Source organism: Homo sapiens, chromosome 17 (assembly GCF_000001405.40).
Source record: "Homo sapiens chromosome 17, GRCh38.p14 Primary Assembly".
Taxonomy (NCBI): Eukaryota; Metazoa; Chordata; class Mammalia; order Primates; family Hominidae; genus Homo; species Homo sapiens.
Genome location: NC_000017.11, coordinates 80,938,882 through 80,957,881, shown reverse-complemented (window position 1 = coordinate 80,957,881; position 19,000 = coordinate 80,938,882). Strand labels below are relative to the sequence as shown.

Here is a 19,000-nt window from a genome sequence, read left to right as displayed (position 1 = left end):
CAGCATTGTCCCGGCACTGTCCTCCCAGGCCCTGACTCCACCCCTGGGATGGCCAGGCCTCACCGCACACTTTGCTGGGTTCTGTGACGAGGACCAGCCCTGCACACACTGCCCCACAGGCCCAGGGCTTGGGGGACACCTGCATGGTTACCTGCACCTTCATCTCACGGTCTGTGTCCCAGATCCGGACGATCCGCACGTCTCCTGAGCTCATGAGGAGGCCGGTCTCCTGCTCCCAGTCCACCACCATCCCAGCTCCTGGAGAGATACAGTGGGACATGGCATCACCCCATGGGCCCTTGCCTTGGGCAGGCTTTGGGGCCTGCTCTGGGCAGCAATTTGGCCAGCAGCTACAAGGTACCCCTGCCACCATCGAGCCCATCTGGTGGGTCCATATGCCTCATATGAGCTCCCGCTAGGGACCCTGGTGTGCCCCACGTCCAGGCTGGGGTGACAATTCTGAGCTGGAACTCCCAAGTCCGGGCCGGGATGACAATTCTGAGCTGGAACTCCCAAGTCCAGGCTGGGGTGACAGTTCTAAGCTGGAACTCCCAAGTCCAGGCCGGGGTGACAATTCTAAGCTGGAACTCCCAAGTCCAGGCCGGGGTGACAGTTCTAAGCTGGAACTCCCAAGTCCAGGCCGGGGTGACAATTCTAAGCTGGAACTCCCAAGTCCAGGCCGGGGTGACAGTTCTAAGCTGGAACTCCCAAGTCCAGGCCGGGGTGACAATTCTAAGCTGGAACTCCCAAGTCCAGGCCGGGGTGACAGTTCTAAGCTGGAACTCCCAAGTCCAGGCCGGGGTGACAATTCTGAGCTGGAACTCCCAAGTCCAGGCTGGGGCGACAATTCTGAGCTGGAACTCTGAGTCTTCCCCTGACTCGACTATGCCCCAGGCATCGCTAGAGGGAGCAGAGCCTTCCAGGAACATCTGTCTAAGGTGTCCACTGTTCGGAGCAGAGCCTTCCAGGAACGTCTGTCTAAGGTGCCCACTGTTCGGAGCAGAGCCTTCCAGGAACATCGGAGCAGAGCCTTCCAGGAACATCTGTCTAAGGTGTCCACTGTCCAGAGCAGTGCCTTCCAGGAACATCTAAGATGCCCAACATCCGGAGCAGTGCCTTCCCGGAACGTCTGTTAGGTGCCCACCGTTCAGAGCAGTGCCTTCCAGCAACGTCTGTCTAAGGTGCTCACCATCTGGAGCAGACCCTTGCAGCGACGTCTAAGATGCCTGCCGTCTGGACGCCTGGGCAGAACTGGCAGGTCTGGGTGACTTTAGGAAGGCTGTTAAGGCTTGAAGATGAGGGTCCTCCTTTTGGCCCTATCAAAGCTTGAGGAAGCCGGTTCTTCTGAGACAAACAGGAGCTCGGCATGGGCCACGGGCCGGCAGCCTTCAGACAGCAAGGGGCTGACTCCCGACGGCTGGCGTCAGCAAGGGATGGACGGAGAGAATGGGGCAAGGGCTGCCCTTTGTGTGGGGATTAGACAGAGCAGAGCAACCCCCACCTCACGTGACGGCCTGTATTTAAAACCAGATTCAGTTCTAAAACTGTAATGATAACCATTTTAAGATACAGAAAGGAACACCATAGTAATCCTTGTACCCACCACTCAGCTCTAACTTTGCTAACATTTTACCATTGTTTGCTCTTTTTTTTTTTTTTCATAGAGAAGCATAATTTTAGACACAGTAAAAGCATCGTCTGCCCCTGCGCCTGCCTGGGAGGGCTGTCCCTTGGGCTGAGGGCGCCTCCCAGGGGCTGCTGAGGTTTTCCTGCTTACGCACGCTCATCAACAACGTAACATGCCTTCCACATTTCAAAAAACCTCTTCAGTGTCAAAATGGGGCCTATTTTCTAGCAACTTGCTTCTTTAATGTTAGGCTTTGAGGATTTATCTGGCCCAAGACACACAGCTCTGGTTAACTCATTTAATCTTGCGTTACCTTCCACTGTACAACTAACCCCGTCATTTGAGCTGCCCCTGGCTTTGTGAACCATGTCACAGTCAACAACTTCACGTGTCCTTGCGGGTGGAGAAGGAAGCGCCTAGAACGGAACTGCCAGTCATGTATCCTGCATGACTCTGATCTCCCCAGGGAAGGCCATTTCATTCCCCAAATGGGTGACCATCTACACTCTCGGCAGGACACACACAAGCCAATGTCCCCAAATCCTTATCGATGTGTGGTGTTTGCCGTTTTTTTTCACGACAGACAGTTGCACATATTTTTATATATATTCTGTAACTCGTAGATACTGCAAATATCTTTTCTTATTCTGCCACTTACATTACAACCGTGACATTTTTCTTGTGGTCATGAAGAAGTCTGTAGAGTCAAACCTATTGATGTCTTTACCCTCAATCTCTTGTTCAATCTGTCTTTTTGTTCCTCACTGTTAGGAAGATTTCCTCTTGATTTTTCTCTGAAAGGCTTTTACAGGTTAGGTCTCTCACTGTGATGTGTTTTGTGCATGGTGTGAGGTAGGGGTATCACTGCATCCTTTTCTATATGGCATCAGCTGTCCCAACACCATTTAGCAACATGGCTCCTTCCCTAGTGCGCAGAGGTACCCTGCCACTTGCGGCCCTTCTGGGCTCACTGCTGCGCTGAGGGCCCTGGTGCCTCTTGGCCTGGCTGCCCTGCAATTGCAGCTTCTTAATGCCGTCTGCGCCTCTTCAATATTGCCTTGGCTGGTCTGCATTTTATAAAAATCTCTCCTGGGAATATAATCAAAAGTGTATTAATAAATCCACAGATTAATTTGAGAACTGCCAATCTCCACAATGATGAGTCTTTTCATCCATGGCTATGGTGCCATGAACACTGCATGTGCCTTTTATAGTCTTCAATTAGAGTTTATGCTTTGATCTGTGAAGAAAGTGCATTTGTTGGATTCATTCCTAGGTATCTTGCAGTTTTTATTCCCGTTGTCTATGATTTCTTTCTTTCTTTCTTTCTTTTTTTTTGAGATGTAGTCTCACACTTTTGCCCAGGCTGGAGTGCAGTGGTGTGATCTTGGCTCACTGCAACCTCCGCCTCCCAGGTTCAAGTGATTCTCCTGCCTCAGCCTCCTGAGTAACTGGGATTACAGGCACCTGCCACCATGTCCAGCTAATTTTTGTATTTTTAGTAGAGATGGGGTTTCACCATGTTGGTCAGGCTGGTCTTGAACTATTGACCTCAGGTGATCCATCTGCCTCGGCTTCTGGGATTACAGGCGTGAGCCACCACGCCTGGCCCATGATGTTTTATAATTACATTTTCTAGTTGTTAATTGCTGGCATACATACATTCTTTATTTTACTTTTGAAATGCAGTCCCAGGCCAGATGTGTTTACACCTGTGATCCCAGCACTTTGGGAGGCCGAGACAGAGGATTGCTTAAGCCCAGGAGTTCAAGACCAGCCTGGGCAACATAGCAAGACCTTGTCTTTACAAATAATAAAAGATTAGCCAATGTAGCCCGGGCACAGTGGCTCACGCCTGTAATCCCAGCACTTTGGGAGGCTGAGGCGGGTGGATCACCTGAGGTCAGGAGTTCGAGACCAGCCTGGCCAACATAGTGAAACACCGTCTCTACTAAAAATACACAAAATAGCTGGGTGTGGCAGTGGGTGCCTGTAATCCCAACTACTTGGGAGGCTGAGGCAGGAGAATTGCTTGAACCTGAGAGGTGGAGGTTGCAGTGAGCCAAGATCCGCCATTGTACGCCAGCCTGGGCAACAAGAGTGAAACTCCGTCTCAAAAGAAAAAAGATTAGCCGTTGCAGTGGTGTGCGCCTGTGGTCCAGCTAGTTGGGAGGCTGAGGTGGGATGACCGCTTGAGCCCAGGTGGTTGAGGCTGCAGTGAGAGCAAGACCCCATCTCAAAAACAAACACAAACAAACAAAAAAAGAAGTGTAGTCCCTCTACTGTGATACACCTGAACCCAGGCAGGAAGAAATGTCCCAGCAGGTCAGAAGCACGAGCGCCGTGGTGGATCACAGGCTTTCAACTTGCAGCCCTGCTCCTCCGCTGGGAGGCCTTGTGAGCACAGTGAGGGCCGGTGTGCAACCGGGCGGGAGGGCACATACTTCCCCGTTTCTGCCCAGAAGAGCCCAGCTCCTGCTGCAGCTGTGCAGCCAACAGAGCCTGAGGACACAGAACTGGAGCCCCCTCCCTCAGGATATGCTGTTACCTACATTAATCACAAAGAATGCTTGCTGCCCACCCGGACATGCTCTTGGGAAGTGGCGTCTGGGTGACCGAGGAGGACACCGCCCAGGGTTCCTGGTGCATCCCTTTTAGTGGCTCAGTGCTGTCCTGCCTGGAGGCACGGCCATCCGGAGGCTGCGCCAGGAGGCCCTGAGGCCCCACTCTGAGACCTGGGGCAGATCCACAAGCACAGAGGGCTTGGCTTGGCACAGACATTTTCTAAGTTTCTCTCTGTTTAAGTGAGGAACTTATGGGAGCTGGGTGTGGGGCATGGGCCTGTGGTCCCAGCTACTCAGGAGGCTGAGGTAGGAGGACTGCCTGAGCCCTGAGAGGTCGAGGCTGCAGTGAGCCGTGATGGTGCCACTGCATTCCAGCCTGGGTGACAGCAAGAACCTGTCTCAAAAATAGATAAATAAGAATCTATGGGAAGAAACTGCTTTAATGGGCAGCAGGCCGCCTTCTGGAGTGGTGAGAATCTTCTGGAACTAGATAAAGGTGGTGGCTGCACAACTTGGAAAATGCACAGGCTGGGTGCAGTGGCTCACACCTGTAATCCCAGCACTGTGGGAGGCCAAGGTGGGAGGATCACCTGAGGTCAGGAGATCGAGACCATCCTGGCCAACATGGTGAAACCCCATCTCTACTAAAAATACAAAAATTAGCCAGGCGTGGTGGTGCGACCCTCTAGTCCCAGCTACTTGGGAGGCTGAGGCAGGAGAATCGCTTGAACCTGGGAGGCGGAGGTTGCAGTGAGCCAAGATCACGCCACTGCACTCCAGCCTGGGCAACAGAGCGAGACTCCACCTCAAAAAAAAAAAAAAAAAAAAAAAAAAAGAAGAAAAGAAAAAGAGAAGGGAGAGATGCATGGGTCTGGGCTCTGCACTTCTAGACTGCATGGTCACTTGGGGGGCAGCAGCCACGTCCCAGGCACGATCCTCCTGGTGACTCTGCCAGGAAGCGACACCTTGGGTCGGGAAGAACAGAGAGGTGCCCTGGGAACAGCAGTGACACGAGCAGAACAAACAGAGGGAAAAGGTGAGAACGAGCACATGGAGAACATTCAAGATGCCAGAAAACAAGAAACAGCCTCCAAAGCACCAGTCTCAGGGGTGACGTGGGGAGCCTGGCTTGCGTGTGCCTGAGCTGGGTGTGCCCAACTGGGCAAGCGGGTCCGGGAGAGGCGAGTGGGGGCTGGGGCAAGCGGAGGTCACGCCTTGGGCCTCCTGCAGGCTCCCTGCAGCAGAAGCTGGCGGAGGGCCTGAGCTCCTCAGTTCCAGGGGAGGATGAAACCTCTGCGGCTCCACGGATCCCCGTGGTGACCAGATCAGATGTGCTGTGGGCCCTCCGTGAGCACCTGACGAAGATGGAGAGCACCACTTCTGTCTTCAGCCCTTGGCCGTTCATGTGAGTTGTTTATTCCCTTAAATGTAATACCGCGGAGGGAAACCAACCTGCTAATACCATTAATCTATCAAATGCCAACACTGGGTCCTGGTGACTGTGACTTTCAAGAAGAGTGGTGGCTGTGCTGTGGTCAGCATTCACGGCTCTGGATTTAGGCAGTGTGACTCCAATCGATGACAAATAATTACCCTCAGGCCCGTGAGACATCCCCCAGCAACCTGCTGGAACTCGGGCCCTCCCTTGACACCGTGACCTCATTGGGTGAGTGCCGAGCCGGCGTCCCAGGAACGCCCACCTGTCCCTGCACGTGTGTCTGTGTCCTGGTGGCCTCTTCTTGTAAGGACACGAGGCACATTGGGTTAGGGCCACCCTGGTGACTTGGTTTGACCTTAATCACCTCTGTAAAGGCCCTGTCTCCAGCACATAGGCCGACGTACCCGGGTAGGACAGTGACATGCCGGCATGGGGGACATGGCACAGCCCGACCCTGGGCCTCAGGTGTCCATCTGAACCAGAGGCTCTGGGCAGCTGTCCCTCGGCCCGAGCGTCCTGCCATGGAGGGGTATAGTCAGGTGAACCCTAAGTCCTTTTTCAGTTCAGATTCTGTGATGCCGAGTGAACTGGTTTGAACCAGTCCTGGACACATAGCAAAGCCGCAGCAGCAGTGACACACCCGCCTGCTGCCCACACCCAGGTTTCCCATGTCCTGTGCAACCTGAGGGAGCCCAGAGCTGTGCCTGGTGCCCCAGCCCACAGCTGGCACAGCCTTCGGGGACTGGGGCCTGGAGCTCTTACGTCTGGCGAGACGCCTCTGCTGCCTTCCCCCGCAGTGAGAGCCTCGTTCTCTGACCCCGAGACCCCTGAAGTGCAGCACAGGCTCCCACTCTGAAGGAAGCACTGGAGGGTCTGGGCCGAGAAGGCCGCTTTTCTCGTCAGTGCTGCTTCCTGATATGTAAGCTGGGCACTGCCATCCTGACCCGGAGAGACTGAGAGCCCGTGGGGCAGCACAGGCCACCAAGTCTTGTTTCCTGCAGCGTGGCCCGGTGTGGATGTGTGGATGCTTCTGGGGGTGTCAGGGACCCCAGGCCCAGCCGGGTGTGGACGTGTGGATGCTTCTGGGGGGTCTCAGGGACCCTGGGGCCAGCCGGGTGTGGACGTGTGGATGCTTCCGGGGGGTCTCAGGGACCCCGGGGCCAGCTGGGCATGGACATGTGGATGCTTCTAGGGGGGTCTCATGGACCCCGGGGCTAGCCACGGGTGTGTCCTTCCAGCACTGCATTTCCGGCAGGTCCGAGCCTTGGACAGGGAGGGAAGTTTTCACAAAAGCAAACAAGAGAAAGGGCAAGGCAGAGCCAGGGCTCAGCCAGGCGCTCCCGTGCTGAAGCCCAGCTCCTTCCATGGCACCACTGCCTCTGAGCGACCCCAGAAAAACAGCCTGGAAAGCCTATCAAACAGTGATCTTTCCTCTCTAGCAAATGACACAGTGTCACCAAAATTGGTCTTTTGGAGAGACACACAATGGCCGGTGAGTGGCCTGACCCCCAGGCTGGCCATCCAGCTGTCTCCCGGGACCCCTCCTGGACCAGGGCCCCGGGCTGGGGCTCACTTTTCCTGCCCTGTCCCAGGGAAGCTGTCATACCCCAGAAGAGGGTTGCCTCGCAGGGGAAGCAGAGCCCAGAGATCAGGACAGAAGCAACAGGAAAGGGCCCCCACGGAGTGCGGGGTGTGGATGATTTTTTTTGCTGGATGAAACTTAAGAACATGGCTACATTAAAAAAAAAAATCCAACGTTCGAGGCAATGTCCACCCTGGAGCTGCCCCCATGACGTCCCGAGGCACGTGAGGGTTGGCATCTCCCGGGACAGGTGCTCAGACAGAAGGGCGGAGACAGAGCCATGCAACCTAGGGCAGAACCAGGGCAGGCCCCACACGGAAGGCTGACCACGAGGTGTAAGGCCACATCCACAGGCCACAGACGAAGACACAGAAATCACAAACCGGCAGGAGCCGGCAGAGGGGGGCTGGCGGGGTAACGCGTTCACTCTGAGCATCGCCAAGGGCTGCAGGATCCGCTGAAGAGCGATGACTCCTAGAGGCGAATGCCTGGTGCTGCAGAGGGGCCTCTGGAAATCTAGACCCAGAAGCCTGACCCCGGGAGCCTCCTAACTCCTGCCTGAGTCCTTCCAGAAGGACCTGTGGGCCTGCGCCTCGCCCCGCACCCAGGCCGTGCAGCGGTGCAGGCAACACGCAGAACTGTACCCAGAGCCGGCACTGCAGCCACTCCGTCCCACCAGCCCAGGCATGCCAGCGAGCGCGTGAGGCCCCAGATGGCCATGTGCACCCCGACCCCCAAGGAGGAGTTAAATTTAGGTCCAAAGAGCAGACCTAATTTTAGGTCCAAAGAAGGACCCCGTGATGCGGGCCCTTTAGGCCCTGCCAGCAGTGATGCTGTCCCAAGCAGCACATGTCTGCAAGCCAAGGATGAAGGTTGGGGACAGGGGCACCCACGAGTGGCTGAGACCATGCCCAGGGCTGGGACTCCAGCCAGGCAGTGCACTCAGGGACCTGGGGCTCTCACGCTTTCGGGGACATTGGCGGGGAGCTGTTGCTTTAGGATTCTGGGGACTCTGAGGTGGAGCAGCCTGTTTAGAGACAGCCCCAGAAGGGCCTTGGAATTCCGAGTGCGTCCGCAGCCCCGGGAACACATTCTGCTCTGGGGAGGAGCCGGGCGGACCCACCTCGCGTCGTTGGCAGCATGTCCGAGAGCCCCTGCCACGCGGTCACCATCTCTGGGTTCTTTTCCAAATCAGCAAAATTCTTCCAGACCCTGATGGCACCATCGTCTGGGGAGGGAGAGAGGAAAGGATGTGAACCAGGCCCCTCGATGGCCTGGCCTGTGCTCTGTGCGTGGTGGTAAGAGCCCTTCCTGGCAGACGTGCTGCAGTGACCCTGGGCGGCCAGCCTGACTCACTACCCGTGGTTCCAGATCTCTGGGTGCCCACCGACTGGACTCTGTCCTCAGATCCATATCTGGGCGAGCCAGCAGGAGGAGTCGCAGCCCAGGGGATGGGAGACCACAATCCTGTCCCACCCTGGCCACAGAGCTCAACTCTGAGGTTTGGCTGCCCTGGGAGCCGGGGCTGCCCTTCCTCCCTCCAGCTCCAGGGCATCGGGTTCCCTGGAGGGAGGCAGGCGGGTGAAGCTCGGTTGGGTGGGTGGGGCTGCGTTTTACCCTCTGGTGAGCCAGCCTGTGCCAGGGAGCAGAACGAAAGGCCAGCTTCACAGAGGACACCAGCACCCTCCGCCCCATTCCTCTCTGTGCTCCACAGAGAGAGTAGCCTTGACTTGAAGGGACAATGCAGACGTCTGGGCTCTCCGCCTAAGACGTGGGCAGGGACGCACTGCCCTGCTCTTCAGGGCTTAGAATGGAGGAAACGGCCCTCTGCATCCTCCAGCAGACAGGCAGGGAGGTCGGCCTGGGTGTGGGGAAAGCATGCGGGCACTCTGAGCCTTCCGGGAACCACATCCGCACCCCCTGGCCTCACCAGCCCCTCCTGCGTGACCCTCAGGCGCTCTTCAAGCCCCAGCTGATTGCCCTGGTGGACGACGGCCTCACCTCCACCCACCTGCCTGTCCCGCTCTCTGCTTTCCATCGCATACACCAAACGTTCCTGGTTTTGGAGCTGGAGCCCTTCTACTGCTGTCTGGAGCCCGTTCTGCAAAGGACCCTGGCCCTGCTCCAGTGCTCGCTCTCTCAGCCAAGGAACTGCCCTCTCCCTCTGGTGTTGGGAGATGCTCACATCTGGTCTCTCCGAAACCGCTGGCTGAGCCTGGCTGGTCCCTTGCCCCCACCGGCCCCTGCCCCGACTATGCATCTCCTCCCGGTCACGTCTGACAGCTACAGGGACAAAGACGGGCTTTCGACATCGGTTGATGCTACTTGGTCCTGAGGGGGCAGCGCTCGGAGGAGGGGCTGCACGAGGACACGTCCCCATGGCCACGCCCCTCACCAGGAGCCCGCAACCGCGTTGAGAGGGCTGCGCACTTGTCAGCACAACCGACTCGACACTCTCAGAGGCTCAGGTGTCCAGGGGCTGCGGCCGACAGGGACAGGCTGGGTGGGATCCGGGTGTCGGCCTTCACTTCTCTCAGCCGTGCTGGCCTCCCCCGCCTGCCTCCCGCCCAGCGCTCTCTAGTCTCCACAGGAAGTGCAGTGGGACTGACAGCGACTTCTCATCAGCAACAGGCAATGGACACGTGTTTTCAAAGCGCTAAAGGAAAATGACTGTCAACGTGGGGTAACTGACATGGAAACAAACGATTGTTCCAAAGTGAAGATGAAACTAAGACATTTCGGACCCCTCCAAAAAACCCCCCGAAAACCCAAGAAAACCAAAACCTGAGTGAGACCCACTACGGCAATGAACCACTGGTCAGCGACCATGATGGTCAACGATGTCCTTTCAGGTGCAGGACGGGACTGGAGGAGGGTGAGTGCCAGCTCCCAGTGGGGACAGCAACTGGCAAATGAGCCAGCGATGCCAGGAGACCCTGGCCGGGGAGGACCTGGCACGTGTTGTGGCTTGGGGCATCCTTCCCTGATTCTCGGGTGTCACGTGGGACCCACCGGGTCTCTCACAGGGGTTTAAGGACAGAGGCTGTCAGAGGCTTTTCCTGGTGCTGGAAGGGCTAGAGGACTGAGATGAGAAGACAAGTCCCTGGAACCCTCAAGGATGGGGTCATCTTTGCTTTCCTGTCTCTGCTGCTGAAGCCCTTTCCCTCATAAACCTCCCCACTTCTGAATGACAGTGGCCCTCGCGTGTGAGCAGGGCTTTCTGTAAGACAGATGTACAAACACATCTCAGGATCACACACCCTCCCCGCCACTCCTCCAGACCCTGGCTTCCAATCCTGGCTGTGCAAACCCCGCTCACCTGTGGCCGTCAGCAGAAGCGAGCAGTCCTGGCCGTTCAGATACTCCATGGCAGTGACCCTCGTGTACCGAGGGTTCCCATTGTGGAAATAATCCAGCTTCTCCCCTTTCTCCCAGTCCCAAAAGCTTAAGGGAAGAAGAGAGGAATAAAAAAGTCATTAGGAAACTGCAAACCCAAATGACAGTGAGATACCTCCTGAAACCCACCGGGCTGCTATCAAAAAACCACACACCACAGCCGGGCACGGCGGCTCACACCTGTCATCCTAGCTACTTGGGAGGCTGAAGCAGGAGGACTGTTGGAGCCTGGGAGTTCAAGACCAGCCTGGACAACAAAGTGAGACCTTGTCTCCAAACAAACAAACAAAGAGAGAATAATAGTGCTGGCAAGGATGTGGGAAATTGGAGCCACAGGCTGTGCGGGTGGGAAGGGAAGAGGATTTCCTGCAGAAAACAGCCTGGTGGTTCCTCCGAAAATTAAACAGAGCATCACCATATGGTCCAGCAATTCCACTCTGGGCGTATCCCCAAAAAACAGAAAGCAGGAACTTGAACAGATACTTGTACACCAATGTTCACAGCAGTGTTATTCACAATAGACAAAAGGTGGAGGCAACCCAGGTGTCCATGAACAGATGAATGATAAGACAAAGTGTGGTCCATCCACACAGTGGAATATTACTCAGCCATGAAAAGGAAATTCTGACGTGCTGTAGCTTGGAGGAACCTTAAAGACACTGCGCTGAGCCGAATAAGCCAGGCACAAAGGGCCAAATCCCGGGTGACTCCACTGGTATGAGGCTCCTAGCGTGCGCCACTTCAGAGAGACAGAAAGTGAAACACTGGCTCAGGCGGATGCAGGAATGGGGAGCTGGTGTCTGATGGGGACCAAGTTTTGGTTTTGTGTGATGAGAAGGTTCTGGAGACCAATGGGGGTGATGGTTGCATAACAATGTGAATACGCTGAATGCCACTGGCTGCGCACTCAGAACGGTTAAAATGGCAAATTTTAGGCTATGTATGTTTTACCACAATTTTTAAAAAGAGGAAAAAGAAATGGAGGTGTGAACCACAGAGATTTTATAAACTCTAAACTCTAAAAGGAACCCCCTCCCACTGCCCTCCCCCATGAAGTGGGTACTCTCTCCATCTCTAAGGGCGATATTTGCTGTGAGTTAAACTCACTTCTCTCCTGGGGCACCTAGCATCTTCTTACTGCTTGTCTATCACATGCTTGCTTCTGCGGGCAGGGCAGCAAGCTGGCCCCCCTGTGTACGCCTCTATTACAAGTGTCACTGGGGAGTCCCTGCCACTCCCCTCTGACCTGCAGGCAGGACTCTGGACTGTCCTTCAGTGACAAGGACAGGGCCAGGCCCGGGGCAGGTGTGGGTGGGGCTCGGTCAAAGAGGAGAAGGTGAGTAGGGCCGTTTCTCAGGAAACAGTGCTAAGGGCCTCGGGGTGAGTGCCTTGTATCTGCTTTTCAAGGAAGAGGAGTGGTGATCGGGGGAGAACAGGGCATCGCTGGGGCTGTCGGTCAGCCGGAAGGGAGGCCTGACCAGCGCGGTGCATACCAGATGCTGTCCTTGTCGGCTACGGCGATGCACGGCGTGAAGGGGTGGAATTTCACCACAGAGGGGACGCCGGGGTTCCTGTTCAGAAATATTTGGTCGTCCAATCTCGTAATGCCTGTCAAAAGAAACACACAAGAGTGGATCCAGGAGCCAGCATCTTTTCCCCCTTATTTATTTATTTATTTTTTTTGAGACGGAGTCTCGCTCTGTCGCCCAGGCTGGAGTGCAGTGGTGCAATCTTGGCTCACTGCAAGCTCCGCCTCCCAGGTTCACACCATTCTCCTGCCTCAGCCTCCTGAGTAGCTGGGACTACAGGTGCCCGCCACCATGCCCAGCTAATTTTTTGTATTTTTAGTAGAGATGGGGTTTCACCGTGTTAGACAGGATGGTCTTGATCTCCTGACCTTGTGATCTGCCCGCCTCGGCCTCCCAAAGTGCTGGGATTACAGGCGTGAGCCACCGCGCCGGGCCCCTTTTTTATTTTTTAAAGACAGTGTCCTGTTCTGTCGCCCTGGCTGGGGTGCAGAGTGGTGTGATCATGGCTCACTGCAGCTTCCACCTCCTGCTCAAGTGATCCTCCCGCCTCAACTCTGCATGTAGCTGGGGACATAGGCGCGCACCGCCACACCTGGCTACTTTTTTTTGTTTTTTGTTGAGACAGGGTCTTACTGTGTTGCCCGGGGTAGTCTCAAATTCCTGGGCTCGAGCGATCCTCCCGCCTCGGCCTCCTCAAGTGTTGGGATTATGGGCATACGCCCAGCCAGTAGCCAGTCTTTTTTTTTTTTTTTTTTGAGATGGAGTCTTGCTCTGTCACCCAGGCTGAAGTGCAGTGGTGTGATCTTGGCTCACTGCCACCTCTGCCTCCTGGGTTCAAGCGATTCTCCTGCCTCAGCCTCCTGAGTCGCTGGGATTACAGGCATCCGCCACCACGCCCAGCTAATTTTTGTATTTTTAGTAGAGACGGGGTTTCACCATGTTGGCCAGGCTGGTCTCAAACTCCTGACCTCAAGTGATCCATCCACCTTGGCTTCTCAAAGTGCTGGGATTACAGAAGTGAGCCACCATGCCCGGCAAGCCAGTCTTAATTTACAATAAATATTCACGACGTATCTTATCATGGCCGACGTCAATACCTTGGGGACTTGGAGAGGCACAAAGGAAGCAGAAGAAAAGCAGGGACTGAAGGGAGGGGCCTGACCACCTGCTGAGGAGCAGGCACATCTGGGCTCTTGGGGTGACGGCAGCCACTGAGTACCCAGAATGAGGGCCCAGGGGCCCTGGCCGCAGGGTTAATGCCTTTGCTCAAAACCCCCAAAGCTCCTGATGCCGAGCTGGACATGTGGAAGCATTCAGCCAATACTTGTCAGCAGTGGTCAGGTTTGTACAAATTTATCTGGGTCAGATTATATGAAGAAAGTGCTAAAGTTTCAGAATAAGCTCGGTAGGGCTCTGATTCGTAACAGACTTAAGGAGGAGACATGGGTGTGGTCGCCAGGATCCACATTGCAGCCAAAGTCCGGGGGTCTTTCAGTCTAGAATGGTAACTATGAACTTCCTTGACTGAGGGATCTATTACAGAATCACAGATTTAACAGAAGAGGGGAACGTGGACTTAACCACCAGGCCCCCAAACACGAGCACTAGGAAGTAAGTCCCTTGTGACTCTAAAAGGCTTTTTTCTAGAAGGAACCATAAAAGGAAGCTAAAAATGCAGAGGGCGCAAGATGGATTCCAACACATCCTGGTGACTGAAAGGGCAGCTGGGGATCTGTGGGTGCATAAGCCTCATTGTCTGTTGTGGCACCAAGGACACAAGCTGGGCTGCCTCCTGGCCTTGGCTGCGGTCACCTGTGTGGCCTCTGGGCAACCAGGAGGGTGTCTTGGGGACCCCCAAGCCTTCCTCAGCCAGAGACATAGCTCCAGGTGGTGCAGAGAGACACCGCCTGGCTCTTACTAACCGTGTCCTCACCTGACTGGCTCTTACTAACCGTGTCCTCACCTGACTGGCTCTTACTAACCGTGTCCTCACCTGACTGGCTCTTACTAACCGTGTCCTCACCTGAACTTCTGGTCTGGCTCAGAGGACCGTTGCCCGCCTCCAGTCTTCCCTGTGGGGAGTGGTGGGCTTGTGCTCTGGCAGGAAGTGAGATAGCCAAGTATAAAGGGGTCCCCAGAGAAACTCCCACCAGCCTGCACACTGGGACAACGGGGGGAGCCACAGAAGTTGGCGCCCTTTGCAGCAGGAGGAGCCCAGCCTCCCGATCTGGGGTAGAACCTGGGATCCAATCTGCGAGGCGGGAAGTGCACCAGCAGGACTCCGGCTTTGCGGGGAGGCCCTGTTTCCCGTTTTTTCCTTCTCACCCAATAAACCCTGCCCTTCCCACCCTTCAAAGTGTCTGGGAGCCTAATTTTTCATGGTCATGTGACAAAGACCCTGTTTTTAGCTGAATTAAAAAGTCCTACAACAGAAGGAGCCTACCGTCGGGGTGCAAGGTCAAAGCCGCGCGACTTGGGCACTCTGCTGCAGGCTGCTCTGAACTGGGCTTAAGCACAGCCAAAGCCGCCCACCTCCAGCAGCTGACAGCCCCTCCGCTTGTGCCTGGCACTGTCCAGGTGGCACCAGGGCCACGGAGTCTGCGGGCTGAAGCCTCACTGATGCCTGGTGTGTGCTCGGCACCTCGGGTGAGCTACTGTTTCCAACAATGTCAGTCCCCAGCAAACACCCAGAACCACGGAAAGGAAATGAATGCCACGTTATACAAGGAGAGGCTGCACTCACAGAGGCAGGCAGGCCCGAAGGCTTTGGTGCGGCGGCAGCACCGTGTTACCCTAGTGGTGCCTCCATTCCCAGCTGCAGGGAGTTCTGGACGGAGTTTGGGCATAATTCTAAGCACTGAAGGACAAAGGGAAACCCCACCCAGCCCACGCATTTGGTACGTTTGAAAATCAGTGCGTGACAGCCAAGGTCGTGAATGTTGCCCAGGAGAAGGCTGAAGAGCCGGGCAGGGGCCTGCGTGACACAGGGCTTTCCCAACCCCGTCTCCTGGGCGACGCCGACTTCTCTGGTTCTCTTCCATCTACAGGCATCAATTCCTCCTTTTTCTCAATGCTCACATCTTTCCCAGCACACAGTTGGCTCCTTAAATGAAAATAAACGCCTGCACCGAATCCGAATTCCGAGGACAGAGGACTGGGAGGAGGGCGCGGCCTCACTCCTCAGTGACTCCCGGCACTACGCCTGCTGGCACCACGCCTGCTGGCACCATCCCCTGTGTCTTGAGGCCTCATTTGGTGGTGTCTCCAGCGGCTCAGCAGCTCCTCCTTTGTGTGTCTGGACAAACTCTGGTTTACAAATATATTCTTTTTTTTGGTCTAGAAATCTCGGTTTTGGGTCTCGAATGCCGGCTCTGTTTCGCACCCTGCTCAATTCTGACCACAGGCTCCAGGCCAGAGCATCACCTTGGCCATCAGGGGCCAGCTCATCTTCAGATGTTGAACTGTGTGAGGCAGACTCAGCTCCCAAGCCTGTCTCAGGCAGCAGGCAGCCCCCGTGTGCTGGCCATCCCAGCTAGCAGGCTGGGGTCCTAGAGAATCGCTAACCTCCAGGAAAACAGCCTCCTGTCGCCGCCACCTGGAGACGCTCATCCAGCAGGGTCTGTTCTCTCTGCTGGAGAAAGCCACCCTGGCTGCAAGGTTCAGCGGCGGCCGCCGGGGCAGCACGCACCGGATTGCAACATGCGATGCTTTAAACCTGGTCTGCCGCCAGCTCTTCAGATGCACAGAGGGCTACAAACAACCACAATTAGCTTTCAGCACAACAGCCACCGTCTGCGTTAATGCGAGATGAACCGCAGTCTTTCACAGAGAGAGCTGCGTGGGAATGCGCTTCAGAAACGTTGCTGGTACCAGAAGTCAGCAGTGTTTTCGGTGATCAGCAGAGCAGAGGTGTGAGCCGGGCCTAGGCACGCTCGCTGAGGACGCGCTCATGGCGCCTGTGCTGCCTGCGGGCAGGGCCCTCGGCTTTGGCAGGAGGGAGGACATCTGTCCTACGGGTCATCAACCTCAACTTCAGAAAGTAACCCATAATAATCTCCAGAATTTTACAGGACAAAGATGCAAGGTCAAAACAATAAACCTGCAGACTGGGGTCAGAGTCCTTGACTTTTGATGGTGCTGATTTGGTTGGGGGCAGCTTGAGGTCCCCCAGCCAGAGCTGGCTCAGTGGTGGGAGCCTGTGGCCGCGAGGGCAGGGGGAGGAGTGCGGAGACACCACTGCTGCTCCGTGCCCTCAGTGGGGCTGTAGGGCTGGGCCTGGGCCCCTGTACTCTCCTGGATCCTGGGGAGAGGCCAGGGTCCCTGGGATGGGGCTGCCTGACACCCTCATTGCTGTGTTGACTCTCAGGGCCTCCCTGCTCCCCACACAGTCTCTGTGACCGGGGCCGCCTGCAGCCTGGATCCCTTCCGCAAGGAGCTCCCTCCGCTGTCTGCGGCAACAGACACCGCCCCCTCCAGGGCTGCTCCCTGCCCCTCCACCCCGGGTGCAGCTGGGAGAGCAAACAACAAGGTAGGTGAAGGGAGCGATTTGGCATCTAGTGGCAAATCTGGGAGAAGGTTTAGGAAAATCATGACTGAGATGTGGGGTGACAGAGCTGGCCACCATTTCAGGGACAAGTGGAGGCCAGCTGAGGAAAGCAGGGCCTGGCATTTTCACTTCCTGTTTCCAGGGAAGGATGCGCCATGTGTAGGGCCTGGCGCAACGACACCTGTCCGGGTGGGGAGATGTGGGCTCTCAGAGGCCTTCCCTTCCGGAAATGTCAACATGCAAAGTTCCGCCTCCATGAGTTCCACCTGCGCTGATAATCCCGAGGGCTGAGGGCTGCCCTTGCAGAGGAAGAGGCAGGGTCCCGGGAGAGCCCTCTTCCCAGGCGGTGGCTGGGTTCCCACCCGGCCCCTCCCCTCCCCACTCTGGGCTGCAGAACCTTGAGGAGCAGCAGCTTCATCTCCACCAGCCTTGATGTGCTTATCTGCAAGGGAGGTGGGGTGCGGGGCGGGTCTGTCGTGGGACAGTGGATGGCTGGAGAAGGTTGTGCGTGGGCCGCGGGGGGCCTGCTCACAGGGGACCCTCGCCCCAGGCCCCACCCCCGGAATGAGCCCCTGGCTGGCTGTGCGGGTGCCCTTACCCTTCTGAATGACTTGCTGGGCCTGCCTCCTGACACGGCTGTTTCGCAGGAACCGCCACTCCCGCTCCTTGCGGATCTGACTCTCCAGGTCGTGCTCTTCTGGGATCTTCAACAACAGAAAACACCCAGTTAAGCCCAGCGATGAAACAGGGTTGTCTCTTGGTATCAATGGGGTATGGGTTCTAGGACCCCTCGGATAGCAAAACCTGCGCGGCTCAGTCCCCAATACGAAAGGGTGTGGCATCTGCGTACAAGCAGAACACATCCTCCGGCACACCTCAAACCCTCGCTAGCTTGCCCGCCATACCCGACACAGTGTCAACGCTGTGTAAATAGCTGCTATGCCGTATTTTTAAAATTTGGATTGTTTCTTGTTGTATTGTTATTTTAAATTTATTTTTGTTATTTACATTTGTTTTTTTATCCAAAATTGGTTGAATCTGCGGATGCAGCACCTGTGGACATGGAGGGTTGGCTGTAGTTATTTTCAGATGAAGGCACCTCTTTCTCAAAGGCTGAAGGCTTTGGGCTTCTCGTCTGGCCAGTGCACCAGAGGCACGGGCTGTTGTGGGTCCTGTGTCTGCTACAAAACACATCGCTGGTCCCTCCCCGGAGCTGGGAGAGGCGCTCTCCACGCCTGTGTTCACTAGTGTGGGGGCTCTGAGACCCTTGAGTGAGTGGCCTGTGAGGCTGACAGGTGTATGATGGGGACCAGGGCCTTGGGAAACGCCTCCCCAGGGAATGGGGGGCACTGAGGTCAGCACTGAGCAGCAGGGCAGGGGGGCACCGAATGCCGCTTCAAACACTGAAAACACAATCAGGAGGCAGGTGCGCTTGAGGAGACACTGCCTTTATTCTCTCTCTAATGCCAAAGGGAACCAGGCAGCTGGCTGGAAGATGAGGGAGCTTACGAGACAGAAGGAAGACAGCCTCATGAGAGGCCAGGCCGGGCCCCGAGAGAGTGTGGGACCTTCCTGGGCAGCAGAGGGGGTGCCACTGGGCTCCTGATGGTGGAAGAGCTAGGAGGGTGCTGAGCTGCAAGCCTGGCTGGGGTTAAACTAACTCGTGAGAACTTCAGTGCCTTCCCTAATGAGACAGCTTCAGAAAGACCAAGTTTATTTTCACTTGAAATATGCAGACGCTAGACATGCTGCTGCCCTCTCTTCCCTGAGCAAAGGTCTTCATTCACTTCAGGGCCTTTGCGTGCATGCGTGTGTGTGCGTGTGTGCGAGTGCGTGCATGTGTCTGTGTGTGTGCACGCACATGTGGGTTGGGGTGTGCACGTTCAGCGTCTAGGAGAGGTCCACACTTGGCAAATACTAACTAGGATTTAATTGACTTTCCGCGGGAGGATGGCCACTTGTCTGGGTTACGCAGATGCATTTCCTTAAGCATACATGCCGTCCAGTCAATCTGGCTAATTCTGTTCCTTGCTAAGAAACTAAGACTTGTGAAGACCCAAAATATAAAATAAATGAAATAAACAAGGTAAGAACCCTAATTCCTTTTGGCTAAAAGCAACTCTGTCTCGACAAAGGAAAAAGAGAGCCTGCATTAGTTATTAAAAAGTCGCTTTCTCTGATAGAAGAAATGGGAATAAAGACTATGGCGCATGGCCGTGTTTGCGTCCTTGCACGTAAATGTGGCGGAGAAAGAAAACGGTTTCTCCGTGTGGAGTTTTAGGCGGTCGTTGTAGGTGGTTATCATGTGCAAATGCTTA

General features: G+C 55.6%; 1 protein-coding gene across 2 annotated transcripts in view; it reads right to left on the bottom strand.

Moving 5' to 3' along the window:
* Positions 1-19,000, bottom strand: part of RPTOR (regulatory associated protein of MTOR complex 1) — a 421,531-nt gene that overhangs the window by 8,487 nt on the left and 394,044 nt on the right. For both annotated transcript variants that reach the window (NM_020761.3, NM_001163034.2), the window contains 5 exons: positions 17,281-17,386; positions 12,101-12,215; positions 10,531-10,655; positions 8,335-8,439; positions 152-258 (listed from right to left, as the gene is read on the bottom strand). In NM_020761.3, the coding sequence (NP_065812.1) occupies positions 152-258; positions 8,335-8,439; positions 10,531-10,655; positions 12,101-12,215; positions 17,281-17,386 (558 nt within the window). The remainder of the gene's footprint in view (positions 1-151; positions 259-8,334; positions 8,440-10,530; positions 10,656-12,100; positions 12,216-17,280; positions 17,387-19,000) is intronic.